Below are 27,437 nucleotides of genomic sequence, written 5' to 3' on the forward strand. Positions count from 1 at the left end.
CAAACATCAGACCCCAAGTTCTTCAGCTTTTGGGCTCTTGTACTTACACCAACAGGGGCTCTCGGTCCTTTGGTCACAGACTGAAGGCTGCACTGTCGGCTTCAGTACTTATGAGGTTTCGGGATTCAGTCTGAGCCACTACAGGCTTCCTTGCTCCTCAACTTACAAGCAGCCTATCATGGGACTTTACCTTGTGGTCGTGTGAGTCAATCCTCCTTAATAAACTCCCTTTTATATACATATACATCTTATTAGTTCTGTCCCTCTAGAGAACCCTGACTAATACAAACACTGACATGCAAGAATGTTCTATGGACATATATTTTTATTTCTCTTGTGGAAATACCAAAAATGGAATAAAGGGGCATTTACTAAGGGTTATATGGTATATTTATGTTTAATTTTTTTGGAACAATGTGAAACTCTTTTTAAGATGATTGAATCACTGAATATTCCCAAAAGCAGAGTGAAAGTTGTAGTTTCTCCACATTATTCACACTTATTATAATTTATCTTTTGTATAAACATATGAGAACGGATATCTTGTGTCTCATTCTCATGGGTATATAATGCTAACTCATTATAGTTCGAATTTGCATTTTCTTAATGATTAATGATTTTGAGCATCTTCTCATGTACTTATTAAAACGGAGATATCTTCTCCAGTGAACTGTTCATGTCCTTTGCCTTTTTATTTATTTATTTATTTATTTATTTATTTATTCTTTTTTTTTTGAGACGGAGTCTCGCTCTTTCGTCCAGTCTGGAGTGCAGTGGCGTGATCTCGGCTCACTGCAAGCTCCGCCTCCCCGGTTCACGCCATTCTCCTGCCTCAGCCTCCCGAGTAGACGGGACTACAGGCACCCGCCACTGCACCCAGCTAATTTTTTGTATTTTTAGTAGAGACGGGGTTTCACCATGTTAGCCAGGATGGCCTCGATCTCCTGACCTCGTGATCCGCCCGCCTGGGCCTCCCAAAGTGCTGGGATTACAGGCATGAGCTACCGCTCCCGGCCATCCTTTGCCCCTTTTAAAAACTGGATTCTTTGTCTCACAGGTTTCTGAAATACTGTTAATTTTTCTTAATGTATATTATCTTTTTCTTTTTTTTTGGTTAACATTCCAAACATGTATAACCAATGAAGATGGCCTAAGGTTTTCTTTTTACTGGTATTCACTTCAGTAACTTGAATCCACAGATGTAAGCAGTATATAACCAGAAAGTTACAAGCAAACACAAATTATACATGCAAATTTCTGTTCACAAAGGTCACATGTGCAGGTACATGAAATAGAAGCATGCATCTAGGATTATGGCCAAAATGTTTTTAAAATGCAGAAATGTAAAATTACATCTTGAAAATATGAAAAGATGGTCTACACACTTCAAAAATCAAATGTTGCTTATACCAGAGATGTGTGACAATTACAGGGTTCAAGTGACAAGCAATAAGATCTCAAAAATTAATACTGGTCAAAGAGAATGGGAATATTTTTACATTTCACTGAAAATACATTGACTACTAGAATATGAAATCTAGCAGGAACTCAGGGGAAAGATTACAAATTCTAAAGCCAATTACTTAATATTTCTTATTACCTAAACAACAGAATTAACATTAACAGAAAACTGCACCTGCATTTGCATTGCCAATCTCACATTAATGAAGTTCCCCAAAAATGAAATGCAACCAAAACAGGTTCAAACTCCAAATGAAAGTCTGCAAGGCTCAGATTAAAACATGGAATGTTTCAGATGAAAGTAATGAAAATACTATTGGTTTTGTTATTTATTGAATGGAATAAAATGTTGACATTTCTTTGAAACTTGGAACTACTACATTTCATTTTTCCAAATGGTTCTACATTTTTTTCTTAGTGGTGCAAGTTGTCTTAAGTAGCTTAGGAAGTCAATCTCTACAAATTACTTATGTCTGTTGCCATTCTGATAAAACAAAAACTATTCATTAACTTAACCATATGTGTATTTTTTTTTTGCTGTAACACTGAACACATGAACAGACATCTATTATTTCTCCACTAAAACAAAAGAGTACAATAGTTTTCTTCTAACTATCAGTATTGTATTTAAGAAAGGTTAACATTAAAAACAAAGGACCATTATTTTCTTTGAAATCATTAAATCTTCTTACATATCTTAAGTTCCCTTCTGTCTGCGTTTGTCTGCAAATTTATTCAGAAATTTCTTTAATTTCTGATAATGAGGAAGGCTGATACAATGAGTATTCTTTGCAACTTCTTCATTTGTATAAGAGTGATCACAGCTTACAGTAAAACCCTGTTTTAGGTATCACATAGTCTATACCAACAGGAATATTGGGCTGATATGGTCCAATTCTATACTCTTCTGGGATTGTATAGTCCTCCTTGTTCTCATCACTTTGACCATCTGCGTTTTCAGTTGTATCTTTGTTGGGATCATCAGCATTCTCAGCAGATTCAGTACCTGGTTCTGTGTTTTCCACATTTTTAATTCCATTTTCCAATGCTGCTTCGTTTTCTTGATTAAATTCCTCCATCTTGTCCACTTTAATTTCAACCAAACCATCATCATTTCTGTCACCAGATTTAAATGCCATGCCCGATTTACGAAGTTCCTGAAGTTCCAAATCTTTCTCATCACCAACCTCATCTAGAGTGAGAAAACCTTCCATACTCCCTGGGAAACGACGCTTTTTAAGCTTTTTCTTTGCTGCTGCTGAAGCACTTGCATCGTTTTTCACAGTACCTGAAGGTTCCTTTTCTCCATCGGAAGCCATATCACCTAAATTAGCAAGATCAGTCTCGTCTCCCACTGAACTGCCACTTTCTAGCAGTGCTGCTGCTGCTGCTTCTTCATCTACAAGTAACTCATCTTCAGATTCAAGAAGCATATTCGGTTCCTGCTCTGTCTGGTCATCCTTTGTGTCTTTCTCACCATCTTCACCGGACTTCTCTTCTCGTTCTTTATCTTCGGTTGAACTTTCAGTCTTCTGGGAACCATCTTGGATTTCTTGTCACTTGGAGATTCTTTGCTGTCTGGAGTGTTCTTGGGCTGCAGCCGCTGCTGCCACCTCTCACCAGCGCCGTTGCTGCGGGGGATTGTGGGAGCTTCCGCGATCTGCTCGCTGGGAGAGAGAGTTGTCTGCTGGTTCTCAGCTTGAAGAAGATTCTGCAGTCCTTACTGATCTTTTTTCTTGGCGTTAACATTTTTTGAAGCAAAGTTTACCTGGCTTTCTAGTTTGAATTTTCTTTTTGGCCGTCTTTAAAATTTTTTTTTTTAATCTATAAAATAGACAAGAGCTAGTTCTGCAGTGTCCAAGTCATTCCAGCAGTCATCTCCCAGTAGGGACTAACAGGGTCATGGGTGTGACCTGTCTGCGGCAGGCATAGGCCTTCCTGCTGCTGTTACCCAGTCTTTAAGTATGCCAGCATCTCTTAGGAAGGATGAACCAGGGTACTGCACGCCTTGCTAGTTGAATGAATCTTGGAACGAATTCTTCATTGAATCAAAAAGGAGCTCATAGTGCACGGTCTTCTGCTAGTACTTCTTCCTATAATTTACAGTCTATATTTAACATTGGAAGTAGAGGTCCACTCCCTTTATCTTCTCAACACTGTGGAGATGCAGACCAGGCCAGTAACATTTTGGCCAGCTTTGGTCTGTCTCCTAGAGACTTAGATGAACTGAGTCGTTATCCAGAGGACAAGATGACTCCTGAGAATTTTCCCCAAATCCTTCTACAGCTTAAAAGGAGGAGAACTGAAGAAGGCCCTACTTTGAGTAATGGTAGAGATGACAGATCTGCTGCATAGGAGCCACCATACAGAGTACCTAGGGATGATTCAGAAGAAAAAAAGGCACTTTAGAAGAGATAGTTTTGATGATCATGGTCCTAGTCTCAACCTGGTGCTTGATTATGATCATGGAAGTCATTCTCGAGAATCTGGCTATTATGACAGAATGGATTATGAAGATGACAGATTACGAGATGGAAAAAAGGTGTAGGGATGATTCTTTTTTTGGTGAGACCTCGCGTAACTATCATAAATTTGACAGTGAGTATGAAAGAATGGGACTTGGTCATGGTCCTGACCCTTTACAAGAGAGATCTCTCTTTGAGAAAAAGAGGGGCGCTCCTCCAAGCAGCAATATTGAAGACTTTCATGGACTCTTACTGAAAGGTTATACCCATCTGTGCTCTATATGTGATTTGCCAGTTCATTCTAATGAGGAGTTGAGTCAACATATCAATAGAGCAAGCCACAGTCGTCGATGCCAGCTTCTTCTTGAAATCTACCCAGAATGGGATCCTGACAATGATACAAAACACACAATGGGTGATCCATTCATGTCTCAGCAGTCTACAAACCCAGCACCAGGAATTCTGGGATCTCCACCTCCCTCGTTTCATCTTGGAGGACCAGCAATTGGACCAAGAGGAAATCTGGGTGCTGGAAATGGAAACCTGCAAAGAACTAGACACATACAAAATGGCAGAGTGGAAACGAGCAGAGTTGTTCACATCATGGATTTTCAGTGAGGGAAAAACTTGAGATACCAGCTATTACAGCTGGTAGAACCATTTGGAGTCATTTCAAATCATCTGATTCTAAATAAAATTAATGAGGCATTTATTGAAAGGGCAACCACAGAGGATGCTCAGGCTGCAGTGGATTATTATACAACCACACCAGCATTAGTATTAGGCAAGCCAGTGAGAGTTCATTTATCCCAGAAGTATAAAAGAATAAAGAAACCTGAAGGAAAGCCAGATCAGAAGTTTGATCGAAGGCAAGAGCTTGGATGTGTGATACATCGCAGCAATTTGCCCCATTCTGCCTATTCTGATAGTGCTGTTCTCAAGCTTGCTGAGCCTTATGGGAAAATAAAGAATTACATATTGATGAGGATGAAAAGTCAGGCTTTTATTGAGATGGAGACAAGAGAAGATGCAATGGCAATGGTTGACCATTGTTTGAAAAAAGCCCTTTAGTTTCAGGGGAGATGTGTGAAGGTAGACCTGTCTGAGAAATATAAAAATCTAGTACTGAGGATTCCAAACAGAGGCATTGATTTACTGAAAAAAGATAATATATATTATATTCTCTATGTCCTTCAGATTTCTATCTCTGTATCTTAAAGTATATGGATGCCTTCTTCTGCCATTTCAAATCTTCCATTGAAAACTTCTAGAAAATCTTTTATTTTAGTCTTTTTACTTTTCAACTCCAGAATTTCTATTTGTTTCTCTTAGTGTTTATTTTCTTTACGGGCATTCTGTTTATGTTGAATCATTGTGATCATTTTTTTTTTAATTCTTTGAAGATGGTTTTCATTATTTTTTTGAACGTATTCATAATAGCTGCTTTAAAAGCTTTGTCTGCTAGTTTTAATATCAAACACTTTCTATTGGCTGCATTTTACTGGTGTGTGTGTCATATATTCTGTTGTCTCTTAACTTTTCATGGAAAAATTGTCATTTTAGATACTATATTTTTAGTGAATTCTAAGTTTTCTTCCAAAGGTTGTTTTGTTGCTCTTTTTTGTTGTTGTTATTGTTTAGCACCTTGCCTGGATTAAATCTGAGCAATCTCATGACATTTGTTCACAGATATTTCTAAACAATTTTTGGAATTTAAATCTAAATTTTTAAGTCTGAGTCACTAGGGATCGCTTCTGTGTTTACATAGCTTAGTTTTCATGTCATCATTAGGCAAAAGTTGTGCTTATACATCTTGAGTCTAAAGGCTACCACCCTTACTGGTGGTCATGTGTGTGTGTGTGTGTTGAAATAATGCATTCAAGGTGTTTCACAAGTATGTGTCACTCTCACTTTAGCTGGCCATCTTGTATCTTTTCTGAAGTTGGGCACATTCCCAGTTAGCCAGGAATGTATGGATAAATGAGGCCCACTGTAGTTTCTCCCACAAACATGCAGCCTTCCAGCCAACCATAGGAATATGTGGTGTGTTTATTATAACCTCTTACAGTTATTCATTTCCTGGATCTTTCTTTTAAATTTTTGGCTAATCTGTCAAAATTTAAATCTGGTCTATTGTTTCTCATACATAATCACAAGCTCTGGCTAATGGATATGCTGGCCTTTGTCATTCACTCTCTCTAAACTCGCTTATGTTACTGTCAATCTCACAAAATATATTCCTCTCTGAATCTGGAGATCCAGGGTCACAATGGGCTCTCTTTAGTGATGGGGTGTTTTGTTTTTCATGACTGGTCTCTGGTAGAATAACTGAGTCACTGAGGCTGAGTTAAGGGAATGAAGGAAGACTCAGATAAGAATGCCATAGTCTCACATTATTTTGCACAAAGGTTTAGTAGTTTTCATGTATAAACCTTTTTAAATTTGTTGTATGTCTTTGTATATCTTTACCAGAGCTCTGATATATATATTTTTATATATGTCTTATATAAAATATATATAAAAATATATATTTTATAAGCTTATATATATATATATATTAAATGTATCTAGCTTGATCATTGCTTTTAGGGAAGATGTGATGATATCCTCATCCCATCCTGCCATAAAACCCATTGAAATGTCTTTCTTTGCTCCTTTGAACAGACGTATGTTATTTCTGATGAGTGCAAGATTCTGACATTACAGTTTTGTTTTCCTCCTCTCACGTATCTATAGATTGTATTTTACAGTTTTTTACATTGTGTCATTAGTGATAGATTCAATGATTGTATGATTCTTTTTTTTTTTTTAAATCTCTAAATTTCCCCTCTGAAACTTTGTAGTATATATTCATTGTCCCTGGAGTTTAGCAGCTTCACTAAAGTTCAACTCATGGAATCTTTTTTATATATATTTGAAACTCAAGAGAATTTGCCTCTCCCTCTAATGATCACATTCAGCAAATGTTCTATTTGGGTTTCTTTTGAAGAGATCCAATGATATCTGTCTGGATTCAGTTTCAAGAAAAGAAAGACAGGTTATATATTTTGTATGGCCATTTATTTTAGCCTGCTGCTAAGAGATACAAGGGCACCCACTCTCTGACAAAAATATCTTAGAAAACTTGCTGTTTCAGAATTGCAATTGTGATTCCCTCAATATGCTGAAATTTACTTTCTCCAAGGAGAAAGTTGGAAAAAAGAGGAGTTTAAATTATATACTGAGGCCATATTTTTTGTTCATCCATAAAATGTAAAGAATCTGATCATTTTTAATATTTGATATAGTATTGTCAAAAGTCCAAATAATTTGAGACATTAGAGTTGAAAGACAGTGATAGCATATCATACTGCAAACTATACACCATATAGGAAATACATTTAAAATATTAACTTTTGAGCCCAGAATTTTCTTTGAACCTGTCTCTTTTGTGTACCATAACATTTGCAAGTTATTCTATATGCTGACATTTTTCAAAAACCTTTTATCAGAAGCAACCATATTCTGACCTAGGTGATTTATTCATTGTTTCTTATATCCCTCTCCTACCCCCAATTAGATTTGCTATCAAATTGTTGCCCACATATTTACAGAATCCTATACACACATATATCTACTAAGAATCCAAGATTATATGCCAAACACAGTGTTTTAAAGTTATTGATCAAAATATTTAATTATTTGCTTTCTGTCCCTGAAAAAGAAATTATGGCGGGCTTGTTAGTGTCTCTACTTGCAGGAGGATTTTACTTCCCTATGCTCTTGGACCTAGGAGTGGTCAGATAACTTTTTGGCCACTTCAGAGCTGATGTTTTAAGAACTCACTTGTTTTCTGTGTTTCTTTTTCCTCAACACCAACAATATTATAGATATGAGCTGCTCTGCCTATTACAGAGATGGAATTAAGGCAATGTGGTATAGAGCAAAACTGACCCACAATGACCATTTAACTTAAATGACACACATTAGTTTTTATAAGCAGATGAGAATTGGGAGTAGTTTATGATCAAAGCAAAATTTAGCTTATTCTGATCAACGTACCTTTAAAAAATACAGTTTTCTCATACTTCTTTTGAAAGGTCAAATAAAAATTCACATAGAATGTTTTCATTTTTTATTATATTCTCTGCAAAACTAATGATAAGAGAAGGCAGCTATGGTAAAGAAAACAATCTGCCTTTCTTATGTATATTGCCATTACTATTGAAATATTTCACCTCTGTGTTATTGAATTTTCTTCAGTTCTCATGAACTGCATTCCCAGACAAACTACAAATCACACACCAAGGATTTTATCTGTGTCTGCTTATTTAGTAGACTTACCATTACTCAGCTTTAATGAGACCTAGTCAGGCCCATAACCCTGCTGATTTTCACAGATATAAATAAATCCAAAGTCCCAGACACTGGGCTACCCAATTACAAACTATGAAACCCAGATATTAGAGGCACAGTGAGAATTGGTTGAGCAAATGAAAGAAAATGAAATAAATATAACAACAAGTAAATTATTTGGCCAAGCATTGCTCTAGGCCAGAACCAAAGAAAAATTTCTGTAAAGAGCCAAACAGCAAATATTTTAAGCTTTGCAAGCAATATGATAACTGCTGTTGTAGTGTGAAATCAGCTGCAGACCTACAATTGATATGAGTGAGACTGTGTTCAAATAACATTTTATTTACAAAATTAATTTAATATTTCTTAAATTGAATATTAACATTTTACTATATGAGGTATATTCCAAACTATACCATTTTTGAAACCTGTATATTTGTTGATATGAAGAAGCTTACATTTTGACTTAAGTTTAATTTGGCTAAAATAATTTATTTTATGATTATTCACAAAAATACTATAATAAATATTTTATTTATTCAGAATTAGCAATTTTCTGATAGGCAATTTGAGTTCAACAGTGAAAATTAAAGTCAACCTCAATTATATCTGTCACTACTAAAGGTCAACTATTAATCCGAGAAGTTGTTTTTATTTTAACAATGTAAATATGCATAGACATGGAAATCTGAATAATACCCAAAAATGTTTCAATTATAGAATAAGTTATTAGCCATGAGAAGTAATATTTGTTGCATGTAATAGCATATTTTCATTACAATTATAATCTAAGTAAAGTTGTATTATAATAAAAAGTATAGCAATATAAAATAAATACAACGTTAATTATTGATTACATTTAAATAGTTAATCTCTTCAGTTACATATTTTATGCTTATCATTAACTACAAACTACTTTAAATTGCATGTAATTAATATGCATTGAAGGTCTACTTAATTACTTTTCATTTTTCTTATATACCACAATTGTATATTTTAGGCCCTTATTTATCTTTTGATGTTTTATTTTCAATTTTTAAAAGTCAATAATAATTTATAATAATAATTATAGTAAGAAATTATGTGCCTGTAATTCCAGCACTTTGGGAGGCCAAGGCTAGTGATTGTTTGAGGTCAGAGATTCAAGACCCACCTGACCAACATGGTGAAAACACATTTCTACTACAAATACAACAAAATTACCCAGGCATGGTGGTGGGTGCCTATAGTCCCAGCTACTTGGGAGGCTGAGGCAGAAGAATCACTTGAACCCAGGAGGCAGAGGCTGCAGTGAGCCGAGATCATACCACTGCACTTCAGCCAGGGTGACAGAGGGAGATCTCAGTCTCAAAATAAAATAAAATAAAATAAAATAAAGAAAAAAATTATATATTAACTTGAAAGTAATATTAAATGTTCCTTTATCTTTTTTGTCTAAGTTTTGTTTTAACTTCCAGGGTACATGTGCAGGATGTGCAGGTTTATAACATAGGTAAACATGTGCCATGGTGGTTTTCTGCAAAGATAAACTCATTTCCTATGTATTAAGCCCAGCATCCATTAGCTATTCTTCCTGATGGTTTCCCTCCCTCCTCCAGCTTCCTCTAACAGGCCCCAGTGTACGTTGCTCCCCACCATGTATCCGTATGTTTTAATCGTTCAGCTCACAGTTATAAATGAGAACATGCAGTGCTTGCTTTTCTGTTCCTGCATTAGTTTGCTGAGGATAATGACTTCCAGCTCCATTCATGTCCCTGCAAAAGATATGAACTCATTCTTTTTTATGGCTGTATAGCATTCCATGGTGTATAAATACCACATTTTCTTTTTCCACTCTTTTGGGTTGTTACAGAAACACCAGAGATCAATTTATATGTTTATGCAAAAACAACTGTTTATGGGACTCTTGGGCTGGTTTCAGTACCCCCTTTCTATTTATCAATTCCTCAATCATGAGGAATCCAGTTGTCAATCCTTCTGGGTACTTCATGTTGAGGAGGGGTGTTGTCAGAAGCTCCATACCATGGTTGACCATGTAGCCACCCAGGAATCAAAGGTTAATCTAATATAGAGTTTTCTTCTGACATACAATATTTCTCTTCAGTCCACCACTTCCACCAAAGACAAATCAAAGAAGGACCAATCTACTTGAAAAATTAGCTTTAGTCCCATATACTTGGCTTGATTACCCACAAAAAATGTGACAAGAATCATTGTCCATATATACTCTCCCTAATTGGCTTTACTGAAACATCTCAAAGGTCATTTTGGTCAGAGCCCTGAGAAAATAACCAGTTCCTTCAAATGTGTCTCATTACAAAAGAAAACTTGTGGTTATTAACTGTATGCAAACAAACACAATACCATGAATTAAGACGTTTCACAAATAGTTTACAAATTCTGGAGAAATTGGGCAAAGAAAGAGAAACATGACTCAAATTATGTTTACGAAACTATACACAATACACTTAAAGTATGTTCCAAGGCTATAAATAGCCTAAAAGAAAAAGATTCTCCAGATTTTGAAAAACAAAACAAAAAGCAATATTTCAAATAAAAAAAGCCATAAAAAATTATTTCTGTCCTCCATTAGCTTAGCCCATGCAATCAACTCTTGTTCTGCTTCATATTGAGTTAGCAATCTTCACAAATACATCAGACTTTCAATTAGTGTCCTGAAAGTTTTCTCTCTAATCAAATGGAAAAGTCTCCAAGTTATCAGAAACCTGCATTCAAGAGTAATTTTCATGAACTCTTCCAAGGAAGCAGGCCTTGGACTGTAGCTGTTTATAAGCCAATTTTTTTTGAGAAAGATCAAAGCAAACCATCAATTGTGGATGACAAAAGTCTTAGGACAGCCATAGTTAAAGACACAGTTGACAAGAAAATGTGTTTTTTCTGCTGCATACAACAATTTAATATAATCATAATTATTACTGACGACATAAATATCAAAACATATCAAAATTTTAGTAATCTCATACAATCCTGGAACACACATTAACAACACATCTATAAGGAAGCTAAGCACCACCTCAGGTTTGACAATGCATCCTGCCTAATACTAACATAACAAACGAGTCTAATAAGACTAATATGTCTGTCTCTGGCTTCAGAGAAACTAATATTCAAAAAAGTTATTTAAAGGACAAAAAGACTGAAATTAGATCTTAAAAGTTTGCTGTTGGAAAGTGTCAAGTTTTAAGATACTTGATGACACAAAGTAGGATCACAGTCATTATAAAATAGTCATTCATTAGCCAAAATGATAAAACAAAAATGTTTACTCTTTAATAGAGAGCAAACACAGTTTCCCAAACAATAAGACCTAATACTTAAGCAGCATGAGGCCAACTAAATCTCTCTTCCCCCTCCATTTTCTCCCTGCAGTTTACTCAAAGGTAAACAAATAATTTTACCTGTTAATATTATACTTTGTTAAAAAGAGGAAACTAAAGCTTACCTTTGTATGATGTATTGCTAGTATTAAAGCAATTTCAATATAACCTTATAAACAAATCTAATTTTAATCAGTTTGACCACAAAGTAAGATTTCCATAAATTTTTAGAAATTTTTCCAGTTTTTTATTAAAAAGTGGATTAATGCTTCAAGAAAGCCTTGTTATCCCAACACCTGGGCCCAGAGGTTGGCCTTGCATCAGTGTGTTTTTGATTTTAATGTTTAATTTATAGAAAAACTCTGAACTAATCTTAACTCTCAAAATCAACCCTTACATTATCACTCACCCACCTCTTCCCCATCAGTCCCTGGTCCTAGAGGAATTGAATAGTTTTAATTTATGGCCCTGTGTCTCACAAAAGCAGTTCATTTTGATTGTTTCTTTCTCTCAGATCCAATGATGATGCTTCAACTGATGTCAATGCTCAAAATTTAGCAGGAGTCAGTGACTTTTTCAGACCCAGAAGTCAAAGCCCTGTAATTTAACAGCACAAAATTAGTTAATAAGGTATTTTAACTACTGAAAGTCCTATCATTTCCTCTGACATGTTACAAATCAAAACACTGTTATTTGGTGTTTAGGAGTTCGCACCTGCAGAACTTCGAGCTACTGTATAAAAGTAGTTAGGTTATTCACTGCATACATCTAATTACTAGCATTATAGTAACAGGACTGTGACCAAAAGCATAAAAAATGTCATAGATCCCATGCCAAGCATATCAAAGTAAGACAACTTACTTTTCTCTCCATCATTAAAACCTGATAAGTGAAATAAGAATAAATTATCTCCTTTCACTTAAATACTGTACAACAAAACAATAAAAAAGTAAGAAAGGAAGAGTAATTTCTTTTCAGCTATTTAAAAAGAGCATTATTGCATATTTCCAAGATTGGTTTCTAGATACAGTACTGACAATGGATTTGCTAACTTTTTCCACCAAAATCTTCAAACCAGTGCAATACTTGCACATTTTTTGTTTTTGAGTACACACATGAAGGCTCATAAGTAATAAAATGGTCGGGATCAAAATTCATTAGAAAGTCTCACATTTTTATTACTACTTAATTCAAGTGAATGTTACTTAATTTTAATAATGGTCAACACAACTAAATAAGTTTGAGAGAAACTTCAATCAATATAATTTTCTAAACGACAAGGCCAGTCTCCTGAACATTAAAACTTTGCACCCATATCACAGATTTTCTTCATTATCTACAGGAAAATATCTGAAATTTACTCAAGCTATTAATTGAATTGAATTGTCCAGGAAATAAACATCATTTAAACATTTTTGTTCTCATCTACTTTTTCAAATAATAAATAATGTACTATTTCTGTTCAGAACTTATTTTAAAAGTCTTTTATGTATTTGTAGTTGTTGCTATTGTTGTTGTTGGCCAGTAAGCTTAAAGCTCTCATAGATCTCTAGATAATCAGAAGCAAACAAAACCAGCCAAATTCCAAATGGCTGGTGTGCTCCATCAATTCCTGCAGGCCCAACAAACGTAGCCTAGGAATTTTAGATGAATAGAATAAATGGACTGGGCTTGGTGGCTCATGCCTGTAATCCCAGTACTTTGGTAGGCTGAGGCAGGTGGATCACCTGAGGTCAGGAGTTTGAGACCATCCTGGCCAACATGGTGAAAACCCATCTGTACTACGAATACAAAATTAGCTGGATGTTGTGGCAGGCACCTGTAACCCCAGCTACTCAGGAAGCTCTGGCAGACGAATCACTTCAACCCAGGAGACAGAGGTTGCAGTCACCCAAGATCGGGCTATTGTATTCCAGCCTTGGTGACAGAGTGAGATTCTGTTTCAAAAATTAAATAAATAAATAAATAAATAAATAAATAAATAAAGCAAATGATGACTTGCTAGAAATCCACAGGAAACAAAATAACTATTCACAGAACCAAATAAAATTATTCCACTAGAAAATAAAAATCATCAATGGTTTTATATTTTTGCATACACAAGCCATAAACCCAAAGAAGAAAAAAACAGCAACCAAATGAAAATCAGAAGCAAAAAAAAAAAACAGGAAACTAACCCTAAATGTTTCCAACTCAGTCTACCTTGGGGGCCACTTTTAGAGCCTAAAAGTCACATGATTAATATTTTATTCCTGATACACAATTCAGTGTCCTTAAGTCCACCAATATTACCACACATCCTATGCAATCAAGAAGTTCACTTTAGGCACATGACCAGTAATTACTCCAGTGCTAGAACTATCCATGAAAAACAGCAAACATAATATGTAGTAATGCAAGCATGTATGTGAGATTTGGCTCCACACTAAATCTGGCTTCATGCTTAGTTATATTAAAGAATAATTGCTAAACTGCCAGTACATTTCCTTACAATATTTCATATTTTAACTTAATCAAGACTAAGAGTTTTAACTACGAAAAGTTTAATTAGACAAATTTCTCCAATTGTCTGTCAGATTTTAAATAATATTTTGTTATCTAAACTTTTTCAACTTTCTATTTTCTCCATATGTGCATAAAGATAGGTACACAGAGAAACAGGAAAAACCACATATGACTTACACAGACTATCCACAACATGTCTGGGCTTTCCATTCAGTCCCAGATTTTTTCCTTCTTCTTAAATAACTAGTCATTTTATCCTAGGTCAAAAAATTAACCATACAATGTCTTTTATCATATAAAATTATCTTTTTTTATAAATTTTCTCTCCAAAAATGCATTTTCATATACATTACTTTCCTCACATCTCTCTCCCCTACTTACTAGTTCCTTACTACTATGTTTCATAAATAACCTTTTAAAGTCTATAATTTAAATTAACTTTAATATAACTTCTGAATTAGATAACATAATTCTTTGTCCCACTAATAACACATCTTTAGGTATATTTTATATATATAACTATATATTAACTATAATTCTTATCCTTGGTAACCTTAAATTTTAGTGAAAACCAAGGAAGTAAGATTTAGTGAAAACCAAGAAAGCAAGAAATCCTAAGCTGCCTATCAGGTATTAGCATTTTATGAATGTGAAGAATTCCACATTTTTTAGAACATGTTTCTAACCTTTTCTGAATTAGAAATGATGTAACCATTTGATAAAAATATTTTAAATTGCACAAAAACTTCACCTACAGCACTTATACATTCATATTTTAAGAGTTTATCTAGAATATTTATGTATTTTCTTGTTATCCAGTTTATATTCTGTGAAAATTAAGGTTTACTACCTGGACATTTTCACCAATGAAATTCTTTCACCAGAATATTCAGCTGTTTTCATTAAACCAACAATATTAAATCAGTCTTACTTATCAAAAAATTGACACAAAAATTGTTTTGTTGTGGCTAGATTTATGATTCCGTAACTTTCTGTGACAAGCCCTTATATCTCAAAATATCTAGCAAAGACAAATAGAAAACCCAGACAAAAATGTATGCTGACAATTCTGAGGGTATTTCATTTTTATTTTATCAATAATCTTAAAGCCAGGTTGCTTATTAAAGGTTTACTTAAGTCATGTGAACATGAAAAATGCTTGGACATTTTTACTTAATTTATGAGTGCTCTTTTATTTGTAAGCCGATTTGGTAGACATAACATGTGTGTTAACAAACATTGATTGGTTAAAAACCCCAATCAATATCCAAAATATATATAGATGCAAAAATATGTAACATAAATTTAGAAAATTGAATACCATAATAAAGAAATGCAAAATGCATTATAACAAAGTGAGGTTAACACCAGATATTAAGATCAGTTTAATATTAAAGAATCAATGTAATTTATTATATGTATAAATATATGACCAATCCAGAGATAGTAACCATGCAGTATTTGAGCAGTTTACTGTAAAAAAAACTGTTAACTACAACAGGAGTTGAAATTATTATAAGTTGGTTAGTAAGAAGTAAGCATATCTCCAAAAATTACTGAAGTAACAGACATCGTAGGCATTTCCCATAGGATTGAGCTATAGGAGAGCCTTTGCCTGCAGTTCAAAGATATAAGACTGAAGATATATCTTGGAGATGGCAAGACTATTGCTTACTGAATGACAGAGCAGTCACTGTGGAGATGCACTGCTGAAATTTCCTGAAAATCATTCCTCTAGAATTTGCCATATGTTGTTGAAAAGCCCTTCATGTGGAGGTTTCTAATGCAGACACTCTGCTGCAGTCTAAAAAATGAAAATGTAAAGAATAAAGAAAATAATGATTCATATATACAAATAAATACATATACGTAATGAGAAACATAGAAAACATCCAAAGTTACCAGTCTTGATTTCTGTAATTGTTCTCAAGGCCTTAATTTATATCTATAGCTTCATTCAAACTACCATTTCAGTATTTCCCTGCCCTTGAGTTCACCTCCTCTGGTCAAGATTCTTTTCTGTATTGACCTAAATCTTCATTCTCAGAAAGTCTGAAATCCTCAGTATGTGTTTTTTTGTTTGTTTGTTTGTTTGTGTTTTTTTTTTCTGATTTCTGAGATTTTCTATCAACATTTACAATTGGGCATGGATATACTTGGAAAGTGCCCCAGAGAATCTGCTGGGTTGTACATATAGTCTACTTTGACTTCATTATGTAGAAGCAATACTTTTTCACTTAAAAGTTAAGGTGAATCACTCCATCCTGTAGATTAATCCTCCTTTTTTTCCATTAGTTTAATGGCATAGGTAGTCCCAAAAGTCCAGGAGGTAGTCTCCTCTTTCAATTTAGCGAAACCATTAATTGAGTTTTCTTTCTAGATTCATACCACTTTGAGAATTACTGTCTCCAAAGAAACTGAGCTCAAACATACTATGCAGGAAACAATTATTCGGCAATTGGGTAGATTTTTAGGTATATTATGATTCCTATCATAGAGCCACTCCCATTTCCACATTTATTTTTTTCAGACTCAAGGATTCTGGCTATGTGGAAAAGCATACTATATAAAGAATTTTGATTTAAAACATATTGTATCCTGAAGTACATTTTATCCTTTTAGGCATCTCTCTCAACTGGTGTCAAAATGAGTCTTCAATATGCCAGTGTATCTTTCAATTAGGCCAGCTTCTTCAGGTGATGAAATGTGTGGTAAAACAAATGCATTACATGAGTATAAGTTTATTTTTGCACTTTACTTTCTCTGAAATGAATTCCTGATCATGCCTAATGTGAGAAATGACTCAAAGCTAAGGTATGTTGATCATCTAAGGTTCCATGGTTGGGCTTTCATTCTCTACCAAGACCCAGTAGCAAGTCAGAGTCTGTTTCTCAGAAGGAGAATAGTATCATCTGCTAAACGTGGCACAGATTTTATTAAAAATCCTGGAGATTTTCTCTGCAATTTTTCTATTTCTGCTCACCAGAGACTCATATAGCATTCCTATATGCTTCATACATTATAAATATTAATAAATCTGTTGAATTACAAGGCCCAATTATTAGAATGCCTTATACTACAGACTGAATGTGAATTTGCTGTGGAGTCGTCTTCTTTTGCTATCGTACCCACTTATAAATGGCTATCTTGTGTACAATTCTGTAGATGAACCAAAGCAGCACACTAAAAGGTAATATACAATACTTGAAAAATCCAAAATAGACTACTAAGTATTGTGCACTTTGCTCATAGTACATAATGAGAGGTATGATAACTTGTCTTTCTCTTTGGAGAAGCTATCTTGACATGCTCCAGAGCATTGAAATAACAAAACCTACACTGGGAAGGCAGGTTTATGAAATTGTGTTGGGTACATTTTCCACCTACTTTTTCATAAAATGTGCTTGTGGCTTCCTCCTTATCAGGTTTAATCAGTAGAATGTCATTAGCTTAGTAGACTACTTAGATGTTTTTTGAATTGTCAAGATGATCAGTCTCCCTATTGACTATATTATGACATGGAAAAGAATTGGCAAAGCCCTGAAACAACATTCTAGAACTACACTGTTGGACCTGCCAGGTAAAAGCAAACCACTTGCAGATTAGTATGGAGAATAAGGAATTAGTCAGATCTATAGCTTCATATCGAGTGACAGAGATTGTGATAAACTATATACAGTCTCCCTAAGATGACCATGTCTTAATGTCAGAACCTATGAATATGTTACCTTACATGGCAAAAGAGACATTGTACATTCATTAAATTAAGGACCTTCACAATGGAAGATTATCCTGAATTATCCAGAGACTCCCAATATAAACACAAAGGTATTTGTATGAGGGAGGAAGAAGGGTCAGAATCATAAAGAAAAGATGTGCTTGTCAGATGTAGAGTTCAGTTAGGAGAGAAGCTTCAACACTACTGGCTTTGAAGATGGAAAGAGACCACAAACCAAGAAGTATAGGTGACCACTAAAAGCTGAAAAACTGATGAAACAAATTCTCCACTAAAATTTACAGAAAAGACCTGAGCATTTCAAACACCTTGATTTTAGCTTACTAAGGCTTATTTTGGATTTATGATGGCCAGAACTGTAAGATGATACATGAGGTTTTCAGTCACTAAGTTTTTGGTAATTTTAAAGCACAAGAAAATTAAACAGTGGTTATGGTGATTTGTCCCAATAAAAATATCAAAACTACAAATGAAAATTGAGTAATAAATTCAGGTCAATTGCCCTACCTACTTAAGCCTTTATATCTCCTACTCTGAATTATGCCACAGATGATATGGCAATTCAGTCTCATTAACTATAGTCTACAGCTGAGTCCAAGTCTCAGTCAACCAAACAATTTGTGAATGGAGATATATCTACCTGCATAAGATAACATACCCCAGAATCTCTAATAAATTCACTAGTGACTATAGAAAAAAAAGATCAAAATAAGAATTATTACTCCATGGCTGAGATAGAATATCCAAGAAATAGCACCCCCTTCCCCAAAGACACATATGGGCCTTACAAAATATCCTTGGAGAGTACACAGCTGTGATTCACTGAAGGGCAGAGAAATGGCTATGGTGGACTTGCCAGAAAAATGTTTTCCAAGGTGTGGTGAAAGTAATTCATGGGGGTGTGTCTCACCAGGGGCAGTTTTCTACAAAACCAGCCAAAAGTGGTACCAGAAGAGAGAAGCTGGTTGCTAAATGCCGGTGGCCTCCATGCATAGCAGAAGGCAGGCAGTGGTGAAGCTGTGGGCACTACAGGAGCCTAGTGCCAGGAAAAGCCAGGTACAGTGCAGGAACATACCAAATGAACGCAAAAACAGCAGAAAACAAAGCTTTATATTCTGCAGTGTTTCTTCACCTTTCCTTATTGACAAAGCTTCAGTGTAAAATGTTAACAGAAAAATATTTAGAAGGGTTGATTTATTCTCACAGAGCAGATAAAAAGGGGAAATTTCTACATTAGAGATAATAAATCAATAAGTGGCACAGCATTGAAAACATCTAAAAATGAAAGACCATGGGACCATCTCAATATTTGCAGTTTATCCAAATTCAGTTTTAAATGTTTTTTAAATATGAACTATTGTGTGCTGAGTGAAAAGCCTTTAAAATGATATATTCTAGATTTCTATCAGTTTCATTTATTAAACATGTTCGGTCCACTCCTACTATGATCTTAAAATAAAAATATTGCCAAAGGATTGTCATTCGTTTTCTTAGCCATGCTATTGAATTCACAGCATTAAAAATTCATAATGATATTTCTTTCATTTGTTCTGCTATTTCTAGCTGTAAACTCGATTTTAAATTGGAAAATATGCTTACAATAAGTGTTACAAAATTGCACTTGCAGATATTCTGGAACATTTTTCATAAATAAAAATAAGCATATTTCAAGTAGAATTCCAAAATATAGAAAGATGATTGAATTTGATCTTGGGGGAAATCTCCTTTGACTAGAAATAAACTAATCACACATTCAGAGAAAAAATTTACATATTTTAGATACTTATGTATAAAACAGGATGGCACATCCTAAAGTAACTCAGAAGACAACAGCTGTAGAAGACATAGCATATATGTTGGCCCACAAAATATACATAGTTTTTTTGCCATATTTTATTTATTTGGGAAATAACTACACTTTGAAAAATGCAGAGTTAAGTTTTTCCTAGTGGTAGGCAGAATTTTTACAATAAATAATTTAATCCGTGTAATTTGATTATGTTAAATTTCAACAAAAAGACTTTCTGAGAAATGTATTCATGGCCCAGAGTATTATTTAAGTATTATTCTATTATTTCATATACAAGTATTAAATATGAACAACTACTGAAATGGCTACAAAAAAAGACTTTCAGAAGACTAGTTTAAGGGATGGTCTGATGTTTAAACAGACACTATGGGATTATAGTGTAAAAAACACTGAATTATTACTTTGCAAAACTATATGGTCTTTGTAAACAATTTACCAAAAAAAAAACTTGGGTGACTCAGATTATTAACATTATTTTATTAGGCCTTTCTTGCCTTGCTATAAAGAAATACCTGACAGTGAGTAATTTATTTTAAAAGAGAGATTTAATTGGCTCATGGTTCTGGCATCAGGTTGTAGGGAGGCCTCAGGAAGCTTACAATCAAGTTGGAAGACAAAGCAGGAGCAGGCACTTCATATAGAGGAAGCATGAGCAAGCAAAAGAGAGAGAAAAAGAGAGAGAATGGGTGGGGAGGTGCCACACATTTTTAAACCACCAAATCTTGTGTGAGCTAGGAGTAAGAGCTCACTTATCACCAAGGGGATGGCCCAAGCCATTCCTGAGAGATTCACCCCCATGATCCAATCACCTCGAAGTGATAAGGTCGGGGGCAAAGAAATTCTGGGCAGAAAAGAATGTGTCCCTGACAAAACCCTACCCTCAAGACAAAATACCTGATACCATGGCCCAGAGTGAAAAATTCTGTCCTTGTTTTTCTGCATGAATGTTGCCTTTTCCTAAACTACCCATGGCCCACCCCGTCCCCCATCCTGTGCCTATAAAGACCCTACCCTCAGCCAGAAGAAAGGAGAGAATCCGCAGGATGTCAGAGACTACGGCTGGATGTTGAAGAGAAGCAGTTTGACTTTAGAGGGACAGTTTGACAGTGTAACTTTGGCGAAGAGTCTGGCTGGAGATGGCTGAACTCCAAAGGAAAATTACCTACCCACCCAATCCCCTTTTTAGATCCTCTTCCTGCTGAGAGCCACTTTCATCGGCAACAACATCCTCTGCATTTACCATCCTTCAATTTGTTCGTGTGACCTCATTGTTCCTGGATGCTTGAGAACCACAAGTGTGGATACAAATTGCTGTCACACTGGCCCTTTGCTCTCACTGGCCAAGGGCAGCTGCCTCATGTGAAAGGGCGAAGGGCCCACTGAGCTGTTAACACTTAAGCCCTCTGCAGACAGCGGAGCTAAAAGAGCACTGTAACATGTGCCCTGGGGCTTCAGAAGTCTCCGGCACCCTGCCTGGATGCTACCATATGGCCTGCATGGAGTTCACTCTTGCCAGTGCCAAAAAGCACTAGCTCCAGCTACTGCACCCACTCCCCTGTGTGCTCCCTCCTGTGAGGGGTGTAATGCAGCAGGTCTGAGTGAGTGGAGTTTGATCCCACCAGCACTGAAGTGTCTGGGTGATTCCAGAGCTCACGCACTCCAGTTTCCAGCTCATTCACTCATGTACTCACTCCCATGAGGCGTTGACAGTGCGGCAGGCTGAGTAACTGAGGCACCATTGTTCCAAGTCCCATGAAGGGGTCAGGGAAATATCCTGCTTCATAAGGGAGCTCGTCTGGAATTTGTAAGAAGGGTGAGTAAATGTGGATCCGCTGGATCAGTCTCTTCACTTTTTTTCCAGACTTCTTTTCCCTCAGACTTTCCCCTGAGCTGTGCCATTTGCAGAGGACAGGTTGCAACACTGCCACCTATCTCTTTCTTTGGGTAGAAAGAATTTTGGCTCTGTTTACCTACACAGAGGTCTAGCCATTGTGTGGGACCAGAATAAAGTCCTGGGGCAACTAAAAGCATTTGGATGTGGCCAGTCCTTGGTGTTGATAGAAGGCCCCTAGACTACCCCAGTCCCTGACTGCCCATTAGAGTGTCAGCCATGACCCCCAGACTTTTCTATGATATCTTTCTCTTTCTTCTTTCACAGTTTGAAATGGCTTCTGTTTCTTGTCTTATAATGATAAGGGGTTTGCTACAAACTGAAGAAATGTTACTAATTAGAATGAGTGTTTGGCCCAGCCACCAGATATGCAATTCAGAACAATAAGATTTTCATTTGACCTTAGAGGTAGGACCACCACTCCAACCCCGATAGCTGCAAGCATGTGTGGTGCACAGCAGCTTTCCTCCTCACCTCCTCCCATTCCAGCTGGGGTGCTTGGAAGGGTCTGCAGCATGCAATTGCCATACCCAACAGCTACATGGGGCAGGAGAGAACTGCAGCTGCCACCAGGGCCCCACGGAAATACTGGCGGCCAGGGGCTCCATGCAGTTGGCCAGTGTTTCTTGCTCACTGTCCCCTCCTGCTATGGGCCCATATAGTCTTTTCTCCCCCGACCAAGGGATCCAGCTTGGTTAGAGCCAGAGGAACGATAGAGTAATTAAAGGAACCCATTTTCATAGAGCAAGAGGCTTTTTCCCCCCACTTAAGCTGTTTTTTTATTTATTTATTTTTTATTCTACGTTTTTTATGCAAACGGGCTTTTCTTCCCTACTTCAGCATTCTGCTTATAATAGGGAAGCAGTGGAGGAATGACTCCACTGGCTAATAGCTGCAAATTTGGCAAGGCCCCTCTGGGACTTAATCTAAATGAATCTATGCACTCCCTGAGAAACCTTTTTGGCCCAAACTCAATTCTAAACTTTGGGTTGAAGCCCTAAAGAGGAAAACCAGATCTGAGGGATCCAAAGCCAGGCACCAGGCATGATGTAAATGGGCAGGACTAATTCCTGGCAATGAAGGTCCCATTTCATGGAAGGAGGCCATGCTCCATGGCATAGATAAGGTCCAGGGAACCCAAACATTGTCAACAGTAGGGAACATGGAGGCGTAGGTGAGTGTGCATAATTCCTATTCTCTAGGCCCTCCCTGCTTCATAGGTGCAGGCCACAATGGCACACATGGGTGGCATCCATCTAAGAGTACCAGGACTCAGGGGAAAAAAGACAAAAGAGATAAATGGGAATGCCCATTTTCTTTCTCCTCACACCCCAAGTTTTTGCTGAAAGAGGGAAGGGACATGAGGGATGTCTATTTCCCTTTCTTTGAGAATAGGCAACCAAATATCTTCATCATCTTCAGTCTATACTCCTCTGGAGTGTATCCTGAATCACTGGGACTGCTTTGGTCCTCAGGCTGTAAAGAAAAAATGCCTTTAGCCCTTTGCACAAAGATTTGGCCAAATAATGATCTGCAGGAAGGAGTGTCTTGGCCTCAGGAAGGAACCATTCAGTTTGATACCATCCTGCAGTTGATGTTTTCTGTAAACCTGAGGGCAAATGGTCTGAGGCCCCATATTTGCAGGATTTCTTTATCTTGAAGGGTAGTCTAGACCTTTGCTGACAGTGTAGGATTGATCCAGCCCTCCTGTTTGCCATCTCAGGAGAGGCTACAAGGGGCAATTCCAAGAAACTAAAGAAATGAAACTGAGTGGCACCTCCACCTCCAGCAGAGGAGCCAACTCCCTCTGGCCCTGCCCCTCCAGGACCACCCTGTCTTCCCTATCCAGTTTCTCTCTCACTTGCCCAATCTGAGGAATCCTTACCCAAGACAAGCCCCAGTCTTACTCTTACCCCTCCAACAGGTGCCTGGTGAGCTTGGCTCCAGTAAGGTCCAGGTCCCCTTCTCTCTACAGGACTTAAGGCAAATTAAGGTGGATCTTGAGAAGTTTTCCCATGATCCTGACAGATACATAGAGGCTTTCCAGAATTTAATGCAAGTATTGAAATCTCCTGGAAAGATGTTGTATTACTTTTGAGTCAAATCCTGACTAACAATGAGAAGCAGGCCTTCCTGCAAGTGGCAGAGAGATTTGGGGGTGAGCTTTGTATTACATATAGTGTTAAGAAAGGGCCTGAATTTTATCCAGCTGGAAGAGAAACAGTACTACTGGATGACCTTAAATGGGATCCTAATGATGAGATGGGACAATGGAAGAGGAGACCCTTTCAGTGTGCATAATGGAGGGAATATGTAGGACTGGAACTAACCCTCTCAATTATACCAAGCTATCCATAATAGACCAGGGATTCGATGAGAACCCCACTGCCTTCCTGGAGAGGCTACGAGCGGCCTTGGTAAAACACACCATTCTATCTCCTGATTCAGTAGAGGGACAACTTATCCTAAAGGATAAATTTTTATGCAGATAGTCCCTGATATCAGGAGGAAGCTGCAGAAATAGGCCTTGGGACCAGACAGTATTTTAGAGTACCTCCTGAAATTGGCCACCTTGGTCTTTTATAATAGAAATAGGGAGGCCCAGGAGAGAAAAAGGCAATACAGGAAAGAGACAGAGGCTTTAATGGCCATCATGCAAGCCCACAAACTCCAGAATTCCCAAGGTGCACCTATTAACTGCTACAGATGCGGTAAGCCAGAGCATTTTAGGAAGGATTGCCCAGGCATCATCAGGAACCCACCTGAACCACACATAATGTGGCAGAACTGCTGTCTTCTTAGGGGGGTCTCTGGCTAATGGACAACTACCTCCTCAGGTATCAAGCTCTGCTATTAGAAGGATCTTCAGTCCAATCAAGAACCTGCCTTTCCTTAAATCCAGCCACAATCCTCAGGAAAGGTACAAAAGACAGATGATATTATCAAAAAGCACATCAGAAAACTGTCTTAGGAGACTCATCTCCCCTGGACAACCCTTCTCCCCATAGCCCAACTACATATTAGAAACAACCCTTAAAGATAGGTTTGAGTCCTTTTGAAATAATGTATGGAAGGCCTCTTCTCAAAAATGATTTATTGGTAGATCAAGAAAGTTCTGATTTGATTAAACATATACCTTATTTGGCTCATTTCCAACAGGAACTGAAACAACTGCCAAAGGCCCAATCCCTTGAACTAGGGCCACCTCTATTCAACTCAGGAGACCTAGTAATGGTAAAGGTACTTTCTTCCCTTTCTCCCTCTATAAGTCCAGATTGGGAGGGACCTTATACTCTACTTCCTTCTACTCTTATGGCAGTGAAAGTCACTGTAATAGATTCTTGGATTTATTGTAACTGAATAAAGGCCTGGGAAGCTGACAGTTACCTCCGTCAACCCAGAAGAACTCCCAAAGTACCAATGTGAAGAGATCAGGGACCTCAAGCTAAAAAACATAAAAGGTAAGTATTAATAATTAACCTCCCATGAGTTTCCTCTTTATAGTCTTCTCTATGCTTGCTGTTCTTACCTTTGTTCTGTTCTATGTCATTTTCAGAATGTTTATCCTATTTCATTTCTTCTTTCTGTAATCTTTGGTACTAGATTCTCTCTTTTTAACCCCTTGTTGTGCAATACACATATTTAATCCATGCATACTTAACCTTGTAAAGCTTGTTTCTTCTTGCCTAGAGGCCATCAAACTCCAAACAGTCAGACAACTGGAGCCTCAGATGATGGCTCTCTTTTGCCAGGGACCCTTAGGTAGACCTCTGGAAGAAATCTGAATGTCATTCTCTCCAAAACAATGCCCCCTGTCAGCAGAAAGTAGCTAAGATCAGTCATTATCCATATTCCAATGGCAGTTAGATGCGCCTCTTCAGAGTGGGGAAATGATAGGGACAGAGGGCAGAGAAATTTTAGGCAGAAAAGGGTGAGTCCCTGACACAACCCCACTGTCAAGCAGAAAGGCCCGAAACCGTGGCCCAAAGTGAGAAATTCTATCCCTGTTTTCCAGCTAGAATGTTGCCTTTTTCTAAACTACTCATGGCCCATCCCATCCCCATTCTGTGCCTATAAAGACCCAGAGTCAGCTGACAGAGAGGAGACAAGCAGCTGGATGTCAGAGACTACGGCTGGATGTCACAGAGAAGCTGCTTGACTTCAGAGGAGCAGCTTGACTTCAGAGGAACAGCTTGATGGCGTAACTTCAGAGACGAATCTGGCCTGAGATGGCCAGACTCCAGGCAAGATTATTTACCTACCTCATCCCTGTTTTAGCTCTTCTACCCACTGAGAGCCACTTTCAGAGGCAATAAAATATCCTGCATTTATCATTCTTTAATTCATTCTTGTGACCTCATTTTTCCTGGACACCGGACAAGAGCTCAGGAGCCATGAGTGTGAATACAAAAGGCTGTCATACTGGCTCTTTGCCCTTGATGGTGAAGGACAGCTGCCTCATGTGAAAGGGTGGTGGGCCCACTGAGCTGTAAACACTTAAGCCATCCATGGGTGGCAGAGATAAGAGAGCACTGTCACATGCACCCTGGGGCCTTGTGAGTCTCAGGCACCCCGCCTGGACACTGCCACAGGGCCTGCATGGAGTTCACTCCTGCCAGCACCCAAAAGCACTTGCTCTGGCTCCTGCATTCACTCACCTGTGTGGTCACTCCTGTGAGGGGTGGAATGCAGCAGATCTGAGTGAGTGGAGTTTGATCCCGCTGGCACCGAAGCAACCAGCTGATTCTAGCACTCCGGCACTCCAGTTTTGCCTGGCTCACATGCTGCCTCCCACAAGAAGTTGAGAGCGGTGGGCTGAGCAACAAAGGCACCCTGTTGGAGTTCCACATAGGGGTCAGGGAAAAATCCTGCTTCACAACCAGGCCCCACCTCCAGTATTGGGGATTACAATTCAACATGAGATGTCAGCAGGGACAAATATCCAGACTCTATCAATTATTAACTCAAAAATTATAATCTATTAAGATTTTGGGCAAAATAGTTTTTGACAAGTGCAAAGAGTGTAATAAGTTAAAAATTTTAAATATAAAGAATATTAAGAACATTATACATAAGAGATTCTTATATACTACATTAAATACATTCTAAGCATTAAAAATTACAATTTGCAAGTTTTCTTTTAAATACCTTTCAGGTTTGAAAAGAAAAAAAACCTATAAACATATCACTCTAAGAGAACATTTTCTGTTTCATCTACAAAAGAAAACAACCAGAAGTGAGGCAGCTAATGAATAAAACAGTCATAAAAAAATTGCTTTTTACATAGGTAACAGGTCTTTCAAATCTTCCAACTTGTTTGCAAATCACTAAAGGAACAGAGGTAAGAATATTTTTTTCTATTTGAATTATCTGCCACTGCAAACTTTTGCTAAATCAACCTCTTTCTGTATTCACCTGTCTACATTTCTATTATTGTCTTTGTAAATAGTATGGAGACCTGATATTTCATACTAGTAAGGAACAAAGCAAATACTATGAAGGCTTGTGCAATTAGAGATAATGGGAACTGTGAGTACAACTGCCTTTATTCACTCTTACAAAAAAGAAATTGTGAGTTAAGAGCACCACATAGCACGCAATGTGATGTAGAAAAGTCTCTGAGCTGAAAGTCTATTTCACATTCACAAGTCAAGAGTGAGACACTCGACAAAATCTCAGTTCTACTTGCTATTTGCTGTTCTGAACTTAGAGCAAGAGAAAGAAAACATGGGCATGTGTGAAACTGCAGAGCTTCAGCTAACTTTTTACCTAAAACTATTAGTTTCCATTTTCTGTCTTCAAGGTAAAATATAATTCAACATCTATATCATCTTCATGTAAATAGCAACAATGTTAGTAAAATGTTAAATTACACCTACTTTCTAAATTTGGAAAT

At 37.1% G+C, this 27,437-nt stretch overlaps 2 pseudogenes, besides 1 other annotated feature; one reads left to right on the forward strand and one right to left on the reverse strand.

Moving 5' to 3' along the window:
* MATR3P3 (MATR3 pseudogene 3) lies at positions 1,111 to 3,052 on the reverse strand (annotated as a pseudogene).
* Positions 3,107 to 5,095, forward strand: LOC401957 (matrin 3 pseudogene; annotated as a pseudogene).
* Positions 24,757 to 25,956: an enhancer, noted in NCBI's record as "BRD4-independent group 4 enhancer chr1:106455803-106457002 (GRCh37/hg19 assembly coordinates)". NCBI's record gives its function as "activates an origin of replication core promoter dependent on BRD2, P300/CBP, MED14 and CDK7 cofactors, and independent of BRD4, by STARR-seq in HCT116 cells {active_cell/tissue: HCT116}" and the evidence as "EXISTENCE:reporter gene assay evidence [ECO:0000049][PMID:35650434]".

This window comes from Homo sapiens, chromosome 1, assembly GCF_000001405.40.
Source record: "Homo sapiens chromosome 1, GRCh38.p14 Primary Assembly".
Taxonomy (NCBI): domain Eukaryota; kingdom Metazoa; phylum Chordata; class Mammalia; order Primates; family Hominidae; genus Homo; species Homo sapiens.